Source organism: Homo sapiens, chromosome 9 (assembly GCF_000001405.40).
Source record: "Homo sapiens chromosome 9, GRCh38.p14 Primary Assembly".
Classification (NCBI taxonomy): domain Eukaryota; kingdom Metazoa; phylum Chordata; class Mammalia; order Primates; family Hominidae; genus Homo; species Homo sapiens.
This window is the reverse complement of record NC_000009.12, coordinates 41053736-41071664: the sequence shown is the minus strand read 5'-3', so window position 1 is coordinate 41071664 and position 17929 is coordinate 41053736. Positions and strand designations below refer to the sequence as shown.

The following is a 17929-nucleotide window of genomic DNA, read 5'->3' as shown; positions in this document are numbered from 1 at the left end:
TCTCAAGAGATCTGCCTGCCTTGGCCTCCTGAAGTGTCATGAACCACCATGCCCAGCCTACAAAGCAATGTTCTAGGAAAAACTAGTTACTCTTTGATTATGTAATTGCTGGAGAAGAAAAACATGGCATTTCTAAAATGATGAACTATATTACTTATATTTTAATATCTCATAAAGTTTGAAATAGACATTTCAAACATAAACATGTATAAAAATTTTTATAAATTAAAAATATAAAATCAAAAACATTTTAAAATTATTTTATTATAAAATTATTATAGAATCAAAAACATTATAAATTTAAACAACTTTTAAAAAAAATTATTTTGGGATTTCCCATGGAGTGATGGAGAATAATGAGCCTTGGGAGAGCTATGGCAGCTCTCATACTCCTTCCTGGGCCAACTTTTTTAGGAAATGGGAGAAATATACCCTGTTCAATGTTTATTGTGGGTCAGGATATTTTTGAAGCTATAGTTGTTGATTTGTTTCAAACTTTAAAAAATTTATTATAAAATTATGGGATGTAAAAAAATTTATTATAAAACTTTGAAATTTTCAAACTTTCAGAAAAGCAGAGAGATGAGATTAATGGCACTCATAGGCAAACATAGAACATAGATTGTAAACATTTTGCTATATTTGTGTCATGATTATTTTTTGCTTGTGTTTGAAAATATATTAAAGAAAATTATATTTTACCCCTAAATTCTTTAGTACAGATTTCTAAAAAATAAGAACATTTTCCTGTATAGTTACAAAATCACCTTTTCAAACAAAATAAAAAATGTTTTTTATATCATTTATTACCCAGTCCACATTCAGATTTCCTCAATTATTATGAAATGTCCTTTTATTTTTTGAGACAAAGTCTTGCTCTTTCACACAGCCTGAAGTGCAGTGAAACAATCATAGCTCATTGCAGCCTCAAACTCCTGGGCTCAAGTGATCTTCCTGCCTCAGCTTCCTGAGTAGCTAGGACTATAGGTGCACACCACCATGCCCAGCTAATTTATTGTTTTTGTAGAGATGGAGGTCTTATTACGTTGCCCAGGCTGGTCTCAAACTCCTGGCCTCAAGTGATCCTTCCAGCTTGGTCTCCCTGAAATATCTTTTGTGGCTGGTTTGTTCAAATTAGTTTCTTCTAATCAAGGGACACACATTGCATTTGATTATTTAGCTCAAGACTTTTTTAACCTGGAAAATACCCTTACTCTTTGTTTATGTATTTATTTAGTGAAATTGACTTGTTGAAAGACTAGTCAATTGTCCTGTAGAATATTTCCCCTTCTGGAATTTTCTGGTTGCTTTTTATGGTGTCATTTAACTTTTCACTCTGTTTTTTCCTGGTTAACTGGAAGTTAGTTCTAAAGGCTTTTAGGCCTGCTATAACAAAATACCAAAAACTGGATGACTTATAAAGAACATAAATTTATTTCTCACAGTTCTAGAGACTAGCAAGTTTAAGATCAAGGAGCATGCGGTTTTGATATCTGGTTAGGACCAACTTTCTGGTTCATAGATTGGCCTTCTTGCTGGGCCCTCACATAGTGGGAGAGACTAGCTAGCTCTCTGGGGCCTCTTTTATAAGGGCACTAATTCCAATCATGAAGGCTCTGTCCTTATGATCTAATGACCCCCTAAAGGCCCCACCTTTTAATACCAGCACCTTTGGGGTTAGGATGTCAACATATTAATTTTGGGAAGACATACACGTTCAGCCCATTGCAAGGTTTAGTTAGATTCAGGTTCAACTTCTTTTTTTAAAGACTATTTCATAGGCAATAATGTGTATTCACATTCCATCATTAGTGATGGTGAGATGATCGCAAGGTTAGGGTGATCACTGCCTATCTCCTCTGCTATATTCCCCCTTGGGTCAAGCCAGTAGTCTGTGATGTGAACTTTGTACCATGTGTATATTCAGTTATATTCTGTATCAATAGTTACTTGATTGTTTTAGCATTTATTAATGATCCTTGCTTGAGTTGATTATTTCATTAGGGGTTTCAAAATGGTGAATTTCTAATTCTCTAATTCTATCTACATGTTTTAGCTGGCATTTTTCTATAAGCAGACCATTTTCTTCACAACTGGGTTATTTGGCTACCCTGAAACATAGTTCCTTCTGGGAAGGCAGAACATATGTTTATTTCTGTCTTTTAAAAATTACTGGTGTTTGGAGTGAAGATTAGGTGAGGTAACTACCTCCACAGGTGACAAATGAATTTTGTTTTGTCTCACTTTTGCTTTTTTGAATATCACTGTGGATGCTTGGATTTTTATATTTAATTTGAATGGATTAGGGAATAAATGAGAAGATAGGTTTTGTCTGTTTCTGTAGTTTTTATGTGGCTGTGTGAACTTACTTTTAAAAATTCCCAGAAATATTTTAATTCCCCTTTAAAGATATAAACTATGTCATACTATAAAGCAAAAGAAAAACCAATCATGTGAAGAGTAAATAGTATCGTTTAAACGAATTGTGGTTAAGCTTAATTTGTAACTAATTAGTTTTTTATTTTCTTTCTACTTTTATCTGCTTCAGAGCCTCTTCAGTGGTTTAGATCTTCTATGTGTCAAATTATTCTAATCTCTTAAAAAGTTTAAGAGCTAAAATACAACACAATGACTACAGGAATGCCTTTGTCCTTTTCTGGGTGGGTACACCTAAGGCAATTTCTTTTTCTCTTCTTTGTTCTCTTCTTCTTTCTTATTCTTAAATCATCTTCAATATTGGACAGATGACAGCACTGTGCCTGCCTCAAGATGTTTCTGACTTTTTCTTTTTCTTTTTTTCTTTTTTTTTTTGAGATGGAGTCTTGCTCTGTCACCCAGGCTAGAGTGCAGTGGCACAATCTTGGCTCACTACAACTTCCGCCTCCTGGGTTCCAGTGATTCTCCCAACTCAGCCTCCTGAGTAGCTGGGGTTACAGGCATGCAACACCACGCCTAGCTAATTTTTTTGTATTTTTACTAGAGACGAGGTTTCACCATGTCGGCCAGGCTGGTCTTGAACTCCTGACCTCAAGGGATCTGCCTGCCTTGGCCTCCCAAAGTGCTGGGATTACACGTGTGAGCCACTGCGCCCGGCCGTTTCTGACTTTTTCTAAAGTCTTCTTTCTCTGGAGATGACATTATATAATAGCACTGTTCAATAGAAGTTTCTTTGATGATGGAACTGTTCTGTAATCTGCATTGTCCCAGCCACTAGCCATATGTGACTACTGAACACTTGAAATGTGACTAGAGCAACTGAAGAACTGAATTTTGCATTTTACTTAATTTTAATTAATTAAAATAGAAATGCAAATAACCATAAGTGGTTAGTAGCTACCATACTGGACAGCAAAGATCTATAATTCAGCATTTAAAATCGATTTTGTTTTGTTTTCAAAAATGGAGTCAGACTGTTACAACCCACAAGAACTGTAGGTTAAATTAAGGTAAATCACCAAATACTACATACACATTTGGGAAATCCAAACCAGATTTTTTCATGTGATAACCACACCCTCTTTTGACTTTAGCCTTGGAGGTAATGGAGTATGGCAGAAAAAACCCTGTATCAGCAGCTGGAAGACTCACCTTCTTTTCCTAGCTCTGCCATATATTGACCAAAAGAGTCAAAGTCCATTCAGATGGTTGAGGGGCCTTGGAATTTTGTTTTTGGTTTTCACATACAAGTTGGAGGGCAGATGTGTTAGCCTCTTGAAATACCCAGAAACCACTTGTTTCCTCATCTAAAAATCAGGTATGACAGGATCATTTAATTATCCTGGAAATCAGATGAAGCACTGCATATGAAAACACTTTGTAACATTGATAGCACTGGGAAATGTAAAGACCTTTTACTGAAATATAAAGGTGTATGGTCAACTGAATATATCTCAGATAATTATGATTTGACTGTATGTATTGAATATAACCTGTAGTGGGCCCCTTGGTAAACAGCTTACAGTTTTGTTGCAAGTTTTAGCCAAGAGAAAATTTATTTGTTGACTAGTCATGCCCTTTATTGGCCACATGATGAGCAGCAATGGTATTAACACACAGTGCACCTTGCAGAATTCAAGAATGTCTCAGTGTCTTGTGAACTAGGAAGCTGAAATGCAGTGGTATGCAGAAGGCTGGCTCAGTAGGAGCCTTGGGAGTGTCCTCCAGATAGATGTTTGTGCAGGTTGTATTTGATTCCAGTTGGCCATGAAAAGCTGGTTGCTCTAAAGAATGAGAATATACTTGGTTTTACATTTACTAGAACTATCTGGGGAACAAATCTTGGGGTGGAAGAAAGAAGGGAGGGAGGGAAAGCTGTGCTTCAATACCTAGGGCTTCTTTCCTGGAATGGATCTGAGAATCTGGGATTGGGTGGCTAATATCTCATCTCTAGAAGGGAGAAAGAACTGGGTGGTGATGGCTTTGTATTTTCTACTGGAGTTCACTACAGAATAGGTGAATGGAATGGGCTGCTATGATCCAGACATTAGGGAGGACAGGTTTGTGATACATTAGAAAACTTGAACGAGCCCTTCTATGATTCTCTCTTCCCTCTTTCTGCTTCCCTTTCTGAATCACCATCCCCAGGTTGTGGAATTAGCAAATCTATTATGTGAGCAATAGCAAACTTACAGGAGCCCTCGGCTCCATCTATCTCCCTGTTTGTGTCAGTTCATTCTGGATGCTTTTAGTCTGTGGTCTTCATTCACTCTTTTTATGGGGAAGTAAAAGGAGTGGGACAGATTATGAGAACAGCTGGGTCCTCCCAGTTGCTGGGGTGGTTATTTTAAGCTTTGTTTAATGTGTCCAGAGACCCAGATGGCATTTTTAACTAAGCTGCTTTATTAAATCTTGTGATAAAGCATAGTGATGTTTATTGAAAAGGCAGACACACATCAGCAACATTATGCATGAAACTTGCTCTAAGAATTTTCTATAAAACATCTGTTCTCTTTGAGCCTTTGTGAACTCTGGAAGTTTGCTAGTTTCTATACAGACTTGAGGACAAGAAGTTGGAACCCACTTTTGGAGATGTCCAAGCATAGGTATTGGAATCATTAATCCTAACCCTCTCAGTTTTAAGGCCCCGGATACCCTTCTGTTAGACAACAGTAACATGAGCAAGCACTGTAATAACATTTAAACAAGATTATTTGGAAATAATGGACAAGAAAAATTAGTATAAATTGTTTGGGGATTTTAAAATTAAAGATAAAAAGCTAGGGCTTCAATGACCTGTGCCAGGCTATAGCCTTAAGAGTCAATTTGCAAACACTCAAGATTTGGCCAATATGCCTCTACTACTTCTACTTAACACAGTCAAAGGGAAATTTTTAGATTCTTTCATCTGATTTGACTCTCTTAGTTACGAATAAGAGGATATCTAGAATATATATGTGACTTGTTAAAATGAAAATCCACCTTCTCTGAGTCTTCAAATATCTTTCATATCTTACATTTTTAGTAACATCAACTTTTGAAGTCATGTCCATAGTTGTATGAAAAGAAAAATTTCAGGAACATTCAACCTCAAAAGTTCTTTTTCTTAGTCTGAAGTCGTAGAAGCATTTGACTTTTACTTTTTCTTTTTAAGTTTGTACTAGTAGGTATTTTGTATAAATATAATATTTAGTTATTGCCTTTGTATTCTTTTTCTCTAGTAAACATCCTGGTTTTTAGCTATCAATATGTAGTTTTACATTTAGGGATTTCTAATGGAAAGAGAAAGGAATCTGAAATCAGAGGACAAGAGTTTATTCTACTTGACCAAACATATACAAAATACTGGAAGGAGAGTTTTACAACAAATATTTAATATCTATGACATGTAAAAAGGTTTTCCAAATCAAGAAAATTCAAACAATTCAATACAAATATCATCAATAATAACACATGAAGAGGTGGCCAACCTTATTAATAACCAGAGAAATATAAATTAAAACAATCCATCAACTTGTAAAAAAGATGAAATTACCCAGAGTTGGTGTAGGTGATGGAAAATTGTCATGTTTGTATACTGTTCATAGAAGTTAAATTGACATAACTTTTTGGTCAGGCAATTTGGAAGTATATATCTAAATTAATAGAGAAGTTTTCTAATAACCTGGGAATCTCTTAATCTAAGAATCTTTACTGTAGATTTTTCTAGAACAAATGTACAAACATCTATGTACAAGGGTACTCACTGCAGCATTTTGCTAAGGAAAAACTCAGAAAAAAATCTATATGTTCAACAGAGAACAGGTACATAATTTATGACACAACCGCACAATATACACCACTAAAATAAAGGATATAAATTTATGTATAGTATGAAAAAGATGTGAATGATAGCTTGTTGGTGAAAAACAGCAATGACTGGAATATTGTGTGTAATGTAATCCTGCTTTTCTGTATATAATGTAGGCATAGAAAATAGGATTGAAAGGACATACTCTAGTCAACAGTGGATATAGCTTGGGTGGAGGGGGTGTATAATGGGGAAGGAGAGTCCCTTTTCCTATCTATTCCATATACATCTCTGGATTTAAAAGATCATACATGCATATGCATTACCTTCAGAATTAAAATGATAAAGACAAAAGGAGAAGCTTTGTATTTGAATCATGATACTACTGTTTGCAACTTATATGACCGTGGGGAAGTCGCCTAGCCTCCTGGGGTTTATTTCCTCATTTATAAAAATAGGGAAAGTAATAATACTTGTCTACATATCTTCTAGGGTTGTTGGGAGGATTGAATGTGATAATGGGTTACAGCATTATGAATTATTTATTCATATAACACAATTATTATAAAAATATTTTGCTCTGATTAAAATAAAAGAAGGACGAGATCGTGTGTGTTTTTCAGTCCCAGTAGCTTTACTAACCAGAAAGCGCCTGCTGATGTGGTGATCACAGTTGCTTTGGTGCAGCTTCCTCTTGACTTTTGGCATTTCTCCATGCTGCTAGCTAAGGCTGAGGTGGCGACTGTGGAAGGTGTGAGCTCCTCCCCCTCCCAGCACACATTTGTGTGCGTACTCACACTCATGCACACACACACACATGCACACTCTATCACAGTACATGAGGTGGCAGCAGCTGCTCCGGCATAGACTTTCACACAACATAAAGGGCTTTTTTGCTGTGGTCTGTGCATTATTTCTTGTTAAGCATGAGCTGAGTCAGTGCCATGCTTTTCCATCTGAAACCTTTCTGAGGCTCAGGCTGTGTTAAGAGCAAACCCTCTCCCCTCCATGCCCACCCCTTGGCCCTCTACTGAAGCCAGATCTTAATCTGCTCATTTCATGAGGATTTTCAAACCGAATGGACTGGGCCATGTGAGAGATCACTGAAAGGAACAGACCAAGCAGAGGCTAAGAGACTCCACGCTAATCTGCTGAGTCGTCTGAAAATGCACAGCTGTGGGAGCTTACGGTGCTTTAAAGTACTTTGGCAGGATGTTTGTTCAGGGGGCCTGTTCCTGCAGCCCTGCTGAATGTTTGGTTAGGAGGCATAATCTTTTTTTGGACAGGATCTCCCAAATGTAAAGTGATAGATGCTAATGTGGAATATAATACAGAAGATCCAGCTTGGATGTCATAAATAACAATAAATTGTTTAATCTTGCTGAGTTGTAAATCTATGATTGCCAGAGGTCTTTAGTTCACTGGAACATAGTATGGGGGCAGGGGCACTTAGCAAATAGGCAGTTATTACTTTCCAACCAGACAGAAACTGGTCTGATGGAATTTATCTAAAAAGGCATACACATGTATTTTAATTAATTGTGACAATTACTCAGAGAAAACACATGGCCCTAAAGAGGCTGAGGGGTTTTTTTGTTCTACCTATGAATGTATATGTATATTCACCTATATTCTACCTATGTATAAGTAAGAGAATGAGTTTTTGTTTTGGGGATATATATTTATACGTATCTATACAGATAGATATACACATACTTAATTTCTGTCTACCTATTAAGGTGCAGTGCCAGATGGAAAGTATTTTTAAGCATTTAGATAGCTTATTCTATAGCATATGTGTGCATATAGCCCCCCCATAAAGCTTTGTCTCTTTTCTGGATATATTTAACAAGAGGCTAGAACAGAGTCCAAAATGTCAGAAATGTTTGAACATTCCATAGAAATGAAGGAGGTGTTTCCAAATGACCTATGTTTCTATGGCAATAAATAGAACTTGTGCTGCGTTGGATGCGTCAGGAGTAAGGAATATAAACAGTGTAAGTATGACTATTCCAGGCAGAAATCTACCTTGTAAGAACAGCTTTGTGCAGTGAGCTCAACAACATTGATCAGTTAGCAGTCTGGTTCAGTACAACATTGATCAGGTAGCAAGCCGGTTCGGCAGTGCCAGTCGGAGACACAGATGGGGACAATCAAAGAAGATGCAGGTCAGGACAAGGATGCAGACATGTACCTGTCACTACCATGGACTTCAGCACTTCTTAGTGAGCAGGTTTATGATTAAAGAAGAAAGACATCGTTGATATGTAAGCATGTTACAATTAATTTGCTGTTTAGTTATTAGCAAACTACATCCAGTTTTTAGTTTTTAGGTTTTTTTTTTCTTTTTTCTTTTTTGAAACAGGTTCTTGTTCTGTCATCCAGGCTGGAGTGCAGTCGTTATCCAAGCTCACTGCAGCCTTAAACTCCTAGGCTTAGTGGATCCTCCCACCTCAGCCTCCCAAGAAGCTGGGACTACAGGTGCACGCCACCATGGCCAGCTAATTTTTCTTATTTTTTTGTAGAGATGAGGTCTTGCTGTATTGCCCAGGCTGCTCTTGAGCTCCTGGCTTCAAGCCATCCTCCTGTCTTGGTTTCCCAAAGTGCTGGGACTATAGGTGTGACTCACCATGCCTGGCCTACATCCAGTTTAATTTATACTACACTGTGGGTTTAGTCCTCAAACATGTTTTTGTTTTACATATAAAAATTTGAGGTAAAAGAACATTTTTACATTGGTCAATAATGGTACATTTAAACAATGGACGACTATATCCATTAAAATCGTGTTGTGGAAGAATATTCAGTGACATGGAAAGACTGACTCAAGGGCAAGTGAAACGTGTCAAGAGTCTGTTAGGTACTAGACACTGTAAACTGGGTCTTGGCTGTGTTACTTGCTTACATCCTCCATCATGTGATCTTTTAGATAACAAAATCGAGATACATAGGGATAATGGGTGGGCTGATTGAAGAACAGAACTTGGGCCACACTTCTAGATGCCTGTGACTTTTCTGCATCTATTCAGATATTAGGAATTGATTATGAAATCCATGGTGGTTTGATGCTAATGAACTCTCCTCTATCTCTCCAGCATGTGTGTAAAGACTTCCAGAGGTACAGGAAGTTGAGGATGAGCTCTCTTACTTCCATCTGGTCTCCATGTAACAAATCATATAACTGCACAATTATCCAAATGCAAATGAAGGAGTCCCTTGATGTTTGGATAACCACATTCATGCCTTGAGTTTGTTATTTCTTGAAATTGCCCTTATCCGTCTCCTGTTTACCCATGAACAACACTACTTAAGGGCTGGCACTCTGCAACCCATGGCAGCTTGGCTTTTTCCGGTGTTTTGTTTTTGTTTTTAACCGAGAAGACAGGAAACAGGCATCTTTGTGTATATGGCTTGCCACAGCCCTTCGTAGATGGACATGGTGGAGGCTGTGTGGTCCCGGAGAACACTTCCTCTGTGAAGCATCAGGGAAGTTTCTGTTCATTGTGTCTTCACTCTCTCCAATTCACTTGTGGAGTGATAGGGATTATAACACAGTGAGCAGAGGATATTGGGGAATGTCATGCTTAATTTTCTTTTCTTTTTTCTTCTTAAATGACATTTAAAGCTAAAAGAGAATCACAAAGGGTAAGTCTGATTTAAGACATTTCACACATGAAAGAAATCCTGCTTTCATGCGTGTTATGTCACAGGAAAAACTCATTTAGAGTCAACATTCTGCACCTACTCCGAAATTTTAGCCTGAGGGTTTAAATATTACCTCGCTGCTCTCTAGGACTTTAATTTGAGCTAATTAGAAATGGAACTCATACTAAAACTAATTTAGGAAAGAAGCTGTTGATGTTCTGAAGAAAAACAGCTGTCAGAAATAAGATCATTAAAAAACCATAGTTGTATATGGCACAAAATGTAAAGGAATAGAAATGCTGGGAGAAAGCTTTTATAGAATAACATTTTATCTTTCTTTGGACACTGGTCTAAGGCATGTGAAATGGCATATTGATTCCCTTGGCACCTGGTATGCTCATTTATGGATGAAAAAGCCCAATGACATAATTTAGGTGAGGTTTAAGGCTTGATGGGAGGCATTGGTGCCATTAGAAGGACGGACACAAAGAGTTCTTAAGTAACGGCATCATGGGAAATGATAATTGCACACTCCTTTCTACTATGTCTTGGTTTCCCCAAGCATTTAGAAGTCATGGCTGGGTAGGAACAAATTTATCATGAGTCTGTCTGTGTGTTTGGGAATGCATATGCCTCACAGATGTGTCTGCAGGGGTCTGTGTGATAATGTTCATATATGTGATAGATGTGGACCCTGGGATCTGTATCTGTGTGGACCCTGGGATCTGTACATGTGTGTGAGTGACAGTGGACTAGGGTCCACTTTGCCCCCTTTTCCACGTGGGAGTTGAAGGAAATGCCCCTTAATGGCAGTAGCATCCACTTGGGTGTGTGCACCTTCTGGAGGACTGGGTGAGGTTGCCCTTCTTCCAGCCAAAGCCAGACCCTATGGTGTGGGACGTTCAGTGGGGAGCAACAGAATGCCATGGCTTGGTCCTCCCTGGGCTGTGGTCTGGATTTCACTCAGGAATGAAAGTCAGATATTGCCTGCTTCAATGTTGTAAACATAACTAAGGATAATTATGTAAGTAGACCATCTTTTCCTTGCAAGGTAGCGGTCTGCTGCATTGACAGAGGGTAGTATTTCTAGGACTTTTTCAGAGAGTAAAATGGTACTTTAAGGGATAATCTGTTATCTAAAGATGAATTTTAAATGTTGGAGGGGGTTGTGGGATTCGGGGAAGACAATAGAATAATTTGTGTCATGGTTAATTTAACAAAGAGTTTTTGTTTATAGAATCTGATCTTCGGTGGATTTTAACAACCCTCTTCTTCCTTGGCTTTTCAGATAAAGATGCAGAGCCTCAGAGAAGTTAAATGATTGATCCTATGTCAGGGGGTAGAGTCAAGACTCATACCTATGCCTTTTAACTTCAAGTTGAGTGCTTTTTCTTTATACAAAAGGGCTTCCAAAAGTTATATTTCTTTTTATCAATGACTAGATCTTGAAAGCCATACCTTTTCTGATGGCATTTATCCTGGGCTAATTGGTAGAGAGAGGGTGAACAGAAGAGAAGACATAGACACGCAGAGAAGAAAGTGATGTGAAAACAGAGGCAGAGATTGGAGTGATGTGAACACAAGCTCGGAAATATGTGGAGGCAACAGAAACTGGAAGAGGCAAGGGAGGATCCTCCCCTAGAGCCTTTCGATGAGGCAGACCCCCACTGACACCTTGATTTTGAACTTCTGGCCTCCAGAACTGTAAGGGAAAAAATTTTAATCGCTTTTAGCCACCAAGTTTATGGCAATTTGTTATAGCAGCCTTGTGAAGCTAATACAAACTTTGTATTAGATTACAAACTTTGTATTCATTTCCTAGGACTCCCATAACAAATTACCACATATTTGGTGGTTTAAAATCACAGAAATTTATTCTCTCACAGTTCTGGAGGCCAGAAGTCAAAATCAAGGTATCAGCATGGCCACACTCTGTAGATGCTCTAGGGAGAATCTGCTCCCTGCCTCTTCCAGCTTCTGGCAGCAGAATACATTCCTTGGCTTCCCGGGTGTGGCTGCATCACTCCAATCTTTGCATCTGTCTTCATATCTCCTCTTCTTTGTGTCTATTCTAGTAAGTACAAAGTGCTGCATCTTCCATGATGGAAGTGGCCCAAATTAACCAATCTACCACCAGGTAGCTGGCTGATCATTTGGGGAATGGTACCATAAGGAGACTCAGTGTTGGTCCCTGCTGCTGGTAGAGTAGGCACTCTGCAGTGGCCATAGCCAGGTCAGCCTTGGTGAGTGAAAGTCCATGTTGTTGAGCCCATGCATAGCCTTCATCCCTGCCATCACGGCCATGGTATTACAGCATTCTTGCATTGCTATGAAGAAATACCTTAGGCTGGGTAATTTACAAAGAAAAGAAGTTTCCTTAGCTCATGGTTCTGAAGGCTGTACAAGCCTGGTGCCGGCATCTCCTTGGCTTCTGGTGAGGCCTCAGGAGCTTTTACACATGGCGGATGACAAAGTGGGAGCAGGCATATCACACAGCAAGAGTGGGAGCAAGAGAACAAAAGAGAAGGTGCCACATACTTTTAAACAAGCAGATCTCATGTAAACTCAGAGCGAGAACACATTTATCATCAAGGGCATGGTGCTAAACCATTCATGAGGGACTCGCCCCCATGATCCAAACACCTCTCACTGGGCCCCACCGCTAACACTGAAGATTACATTTCAATATGAGATTTGGAGGAGACAAACATCTAAACCATATCAGCCACTTGGCTCATGAGCCCATTGGACAATGACAGGAATGGCTGGGGGAAAGCCACTCATTGACATCCACAGAACTGGTCATCCTATTATTAAAATCCTCCTCTGCCTAGGTCACCATTTGGTGAGTGTCCATAAGGGACACAAATATCTTCACAATTTTCCATGTCTTACCTTAGAAGCCCCATCACCCTCTCTTTCACATCTCCTCCAGTACTTATCCCCCAGATGATAGGACCATGTCCAGCAATACCTCTTCTCTCTGGTATTGATGGGTTAATGAGCAGATCTCACATAGGTAAAATTTCCAGATATCTAGAATTTAATCTTCTGTTAATTCTCCAATTATAACTAAAGTATTTCAGGTTGAAACTTCATTCAAGTGTAATTACTCACTTTAACCTTCTTAAACAGAATGTATATTACCTTTTCAAAAATAACTGAAATTTAATAAGATAAAAATGTATCTATAATCATTCCTACTTAATAACTTTACATGTTTATTTCTGCATTTTTCTAAGTCCTTGCCCCAAAGTGGACATAATTTTATACTGTAATAGCATAAAATAATTTTGCATTTGACATTTTTGATTTGGCATTAAACTATTGTTTATGTTTCTTTCGCTACTGCTTAAGAAAATGTGGGTGATTGTAATAAATAAACCTGAAATGTAGGCAATTTTTATTGCCTTAAAAACAATAGAATGTTATTTCTCACTCACACAATAGTCCAATGAGGATGTCCCTGGTGGGCAAAGACTCTTGTCTACCAAATGGGATGGGGACTCAGTTTCCTTCCCTCTTGTGACTCTGGCATTGCCTAGAGCCACATGATTACCTGTACTGAATCTGTAGAAAGAGAAATAAGCAGTGTAGAGATGATATGTCTGTTTTCTGATATCCTCAGCCTAGAAGAAACACACATTACTTCTGTTCTTATTCTCATACTAGTTTATCACCCATTGTCCAAATGCACCATGTGGCCACACCTAGATGCAAGGGTGGGGTGGAAAATGTAGCCCCTGGCTGGGCAGCTGTTCCTCAGCATTGACTCTGTGCTATGGAAGGGCTTCCTAAGTTTTTGTGGACTGCTATCCCAGTCTGTCACCACTATACAATCTTCATAATTTTCCCTTTAAATGGCTGAGAGAAAATTTTGAACAAAAGCTACAAACATTTTTCAGATTCTTGATTCTCCAGACTTATTACTTGAGGGCAGTGACTAAATTATATTCAGTTCTATATCAGAAGGTTCTTCCATATTGCCGGTTTCATGGTAGATATTCAATAAAATGAGTTGAATGACTACATAAATTTTAGCAAGAGCATATGGAAAATAATTTATCATGACTTTGGGTAATACTATAGGTGTAATTATTGTCCTTTCTCTTTCCTGACTTGATTAATAGCACCACTATCCATTAAGTTATTAAAGGTAGAAAGCTGAGATTATTCTTGACTCCTTTTCTCACTGGTCCAGTATTAGTTATTTATTGCAGTGTAAGAAATTACCATGAAACTTAGTGGCTTAGTTGGGGCTTGATGGGGGCTGGAGGATCCACTGCAAGATGGCTCAGTCACTTGGCTGGCAAGGTGGTGCTGGCTGTTAGCCTCCCATCTGATCCTCCTCTTTCCGCTCCTGCCACTCTTCAAGGTATTTTTTCCAGAGCAGCCATTCATCATTCATTTATTTTTTCCCATTAATTAATTCAACAGATATTTATTGTATACTTACCATATGCCAGATTTGTTCTAGGTTCTTGGAATATAGCAGTGAAAAAAAAAAACAGTCCTTGGATCTTATATACAGTGGGGAAATAAACATATATTGTAGAAAATTAGATGGTAATGTGTGTGAGCACATATATTTATTATTTCTCATCATTTCTGAGACAGGAGATGGGTATTCTGGCTTGGGGACTCACATGAGGTCACAGTTACATGTTGGTATTGGTTTGGTCATATGAAGGCTTGGTGGGGGCTGGAGGATCCACTGTGAGATGGCTCAATCCCTTGGCTGGAAAGTTGGTGCTGGCTGTTGTTGGCAGGCCTTGCTTCCTCTTCACAGGGCTTCTTGAGTGTCTTCATGACATGGCAGCTGGCCTCTCCCAAAATAAGCTGTCCAAGAGAGCAGGGCAGAAGTGTCCATGCCATTTATGGCCTCACCATGGAAGTCACACACAAACACTTCTGCAATATATACAGATTACCCAGATCTGCATCGTTCAGTGTGGGAGGGGACCACAAAAAGGCACAAATGCCAAAAGGCAAGGACCATTGGGGCCATTTTGGAGGCTATTTACCACAGCCCCTCTCTTCAATATTCCAGTCCACCTGCATATTCTGTTCATCCTCCTTCCAAAAATGTATCTCAAACCAAATGACTAATTTTCATTTCTGTTGGCTCTAGCCTAGTCCAAGACTCTATCAACACTCGACTTGAAGAGTGTCCCGTCTGATATTCCTCTTTCTGCTCTTGCCCCCCTTCAAGGTATTTCTCCCAGAGAAGCCATTCATCATGCATTCATTATTCTCCATTCATTAATTCAACAAATATTTATTGTACGCTTACCACATGCCAGATTTATTTTAGGTTCTTGGGATATAGCAGTGAAAAAAAGTCCTTGGGCTTTACATACAGTGGGAAAATAAATAATATGGAAAATGTTAAAGGCAACATATGTGATCCAGAAAATTATAGCAGGGTGAAGGAAATAGGAAACAATAGAAAAGTTAGGGACTTCTGGCTATAGTATTATATAGGGCTGTCAAGGGTGCTATCTCTCATTAGCTTACATTGAAACAGAAACCCAAAAGACAGTAGAGGGCAGGTATGTTAATATCTGGGCAAGTATTCTAAGCAGAGGAAAAAGAAAATGCAAGGGCCCTGAGGCAGGATCATGTTTGGTATGTTTGAGGAATAGCTGTTCTGTTCCGTTGTGGCTGGAACAGAAGAAGGAGGGCGGGAGGGCGATAGAGAATGGTACATGATGGAGGTCAGATTATGTAGGGCCTTGTAGACTACAATGAAGACTTTGGCTTTGTTTTGGGTTGGTGGGGGACAAGGAATGCTATTGGAATGTTTTAGTGACTTGATGTGACTTACTTTTTAATAGGACCATTTGGGCTGCTCAGCCCATGATGTTTAAAAATGCAATCAGGTCACTTCCACTGTTTAAAACCTTTCAATGGATTCTGGTTGTACTTAGAATAAAATCTAAGCTCCCTTAGCTATTATTATTATATTATTATTAAAATTGACGTCCTTTATTCTCTATTACAGCAGTCTAATTCCTTCCTAATATGTACCTCACTAGTAACTATTATTATTATTATTTGTTTATAATCTGTCTCCTCTACTTTAAAATATGTAGCCTGGGGATCTTGTGGATTTCCATACTAAATCATCCCAAGGCCACTTTGCTTTTGAGCTCTGTGTGTGTGTGTGTGTGTGTGTGTGTGTGTGTGTGTGTGTGTGTTTTGATCTCTTCTGTAATTTTTTTCCCCTGATCTCGCTGATTGTTATATTTGGTCAGTGACTGACCTCTAGCAATGATGGTGCCAGGGCAACTTTGTTGTTGAACTGTATGTTAAGGTTTGTTTTGGCTTGTTGGTTATATCAGTACTTATCAAATGAATTATCTGGGAAGAGAGGAGAGGATCTTATTAAAATACAGGTTCTTATTAGGTAGGCCTTGGGTGGGCCTTGAGGTTCTGCATTTCTTTCTTTCTCTTTCTTTCTTTTACTATTTCTTTCTCTTTCTTTCTTTTTCTTTTTTCTTTCTTTCTCTTTCTTTCTCTCTCTTTCTTTCCCTTTCTTTCTTTCCTTTCTTTCTTTCTTTCCTTCCTTTCTTTCTTTCCTTCCTTCCTTCCTTCCTTCCTTCCTTCCTTCCTTCCTTCCTTCCTTTCTTCCTTCAGACAGAGTCTCACTCTGTAGCCCAGGCTGGAGTGCTGTGGTGCCATCTTAGCTCACTGCAACCTCTGCCTCCCAGGTTCAAGCAATTCTCCCACCTCAGCCTCCGGAGTAGCTGGGACTACAGGCGTGCACCACCATGCTCAGCTAATTTTTGTATTTTTAGTAGAAATAGGGATTCACCACGTTGGCCAGGTTGGTCTCGAACTCTGGAGCTCAAGTGATCTGCCCACCTCAGCCTCCCAAAGTGCTGGGATTTCAGGTGGAGCCACCATGCCCAGCTGAGGTTCTGCATTTCTATCAAGCTTGCAGGTGATGCCCATGCTGCCAGCCCTTTGAGTAACAAGGGGGCTTTATTACCGAGCTTGGCTGAACATTGGAATCATCTGTGGAGCTTTAAAACTACTAATGCTGGGCTCTCAACCCCAGAGATTGCAATATCATCAGTCTAGAATGCAGTTTGAGTACTAGGATTTTAAAAAGTTTCATAAGTGATTCTATTTTGTAGAAATATTGAGAACTACTAGATTGGATGATATTGAATCCAATTTTAAAATAAGGTGTAGCAATAAATGTTCTTCAGCGCTGTGTTGCTGACTTTTTAGAAAGTCAGTTTTGTAGCTCTAGAAAGAATCTGGCTGCATCCATGGATGACCTCCAGATCTCTGCTTAGCATGACTGGGTAATTTCTCCAATGTCTCCAGCACATGCTGTCACTTAACAGCAGAAAGAGAATTCCTACTTTCAGGAGAAAAGTCATTCCTGAAGATTACAGTTAAAATATGCCCACAGATCATGAGGTTGTACTAAGTCAGTCCCCTTGCTCTCTGAGCTTGTTCTAAGTTACAGGAAGCAGAAGAAGCAGAGAAGCACTCCATTTCTTTTTTCTTGTAATCTCTAGCATGTTCACATGCATAGTTTCTGAGTCAGTAGCAAACTAAGAACTTCTTGTGTGATTCAAGCTAACCCCTCGATTATCAGAAGCAGATGTTTCAAACGACTGAAGATCAATGAGGCATATCCTATTTACAGGTTAATAATTGACTACTAGATGCAGGTGCCCCAAATGGTCTTAGAGACATTAGATAGGAGAGACAATGTCAGTGCTCCCCCTACCCTGCCTCCCCTAATCTAAAGCCTACTCTGTTTCTTTTATCAAGTGATTGGCTGTATGTTAACAGAGCCTGGGGCACTTTCCTGTTGAAATGCCTTTAATCCCAAGCAACTGTATTGATTTTTTTTTTTTTTTGGATGGTTTAGATTGGATGACTGATTATTGGACAGAATGGCATCTTGTCAACACCTGCGGTCTCCTGCATTATCAGGAAGATCAAGGCAGCTGGTGGAATCATTCTAACAGCCAGCCACTGCCCTGGAGGACCAGGGGGAGAGTTTGGAGTGAAGTTTAATGTTGCCAATGGAGG

General features: G+C 39.0%; 1 pseudogene across 1 annotated transcript in view; it reads left to right on the top strand.

The window, feature by feature from the left end:
* Positions 1 to 17929, top strand: part of PGM5P2 (phosphoglucomutase 5 pseudogene 2) — a 67615-nt pseudogene that overhangs the window by 2961 nt on the left and 46725 nt on the right. Inside the window, exon 2 of the transcript NR_002836.2 lies at positions 17766 to 17928. The product of NR_002836.2 is annotated as a phosphoglucomutase 5 pseudogene 2 (transcript). The remainder of the gene's footprint in view (positions 1 to 17765; position 17929) is intronic.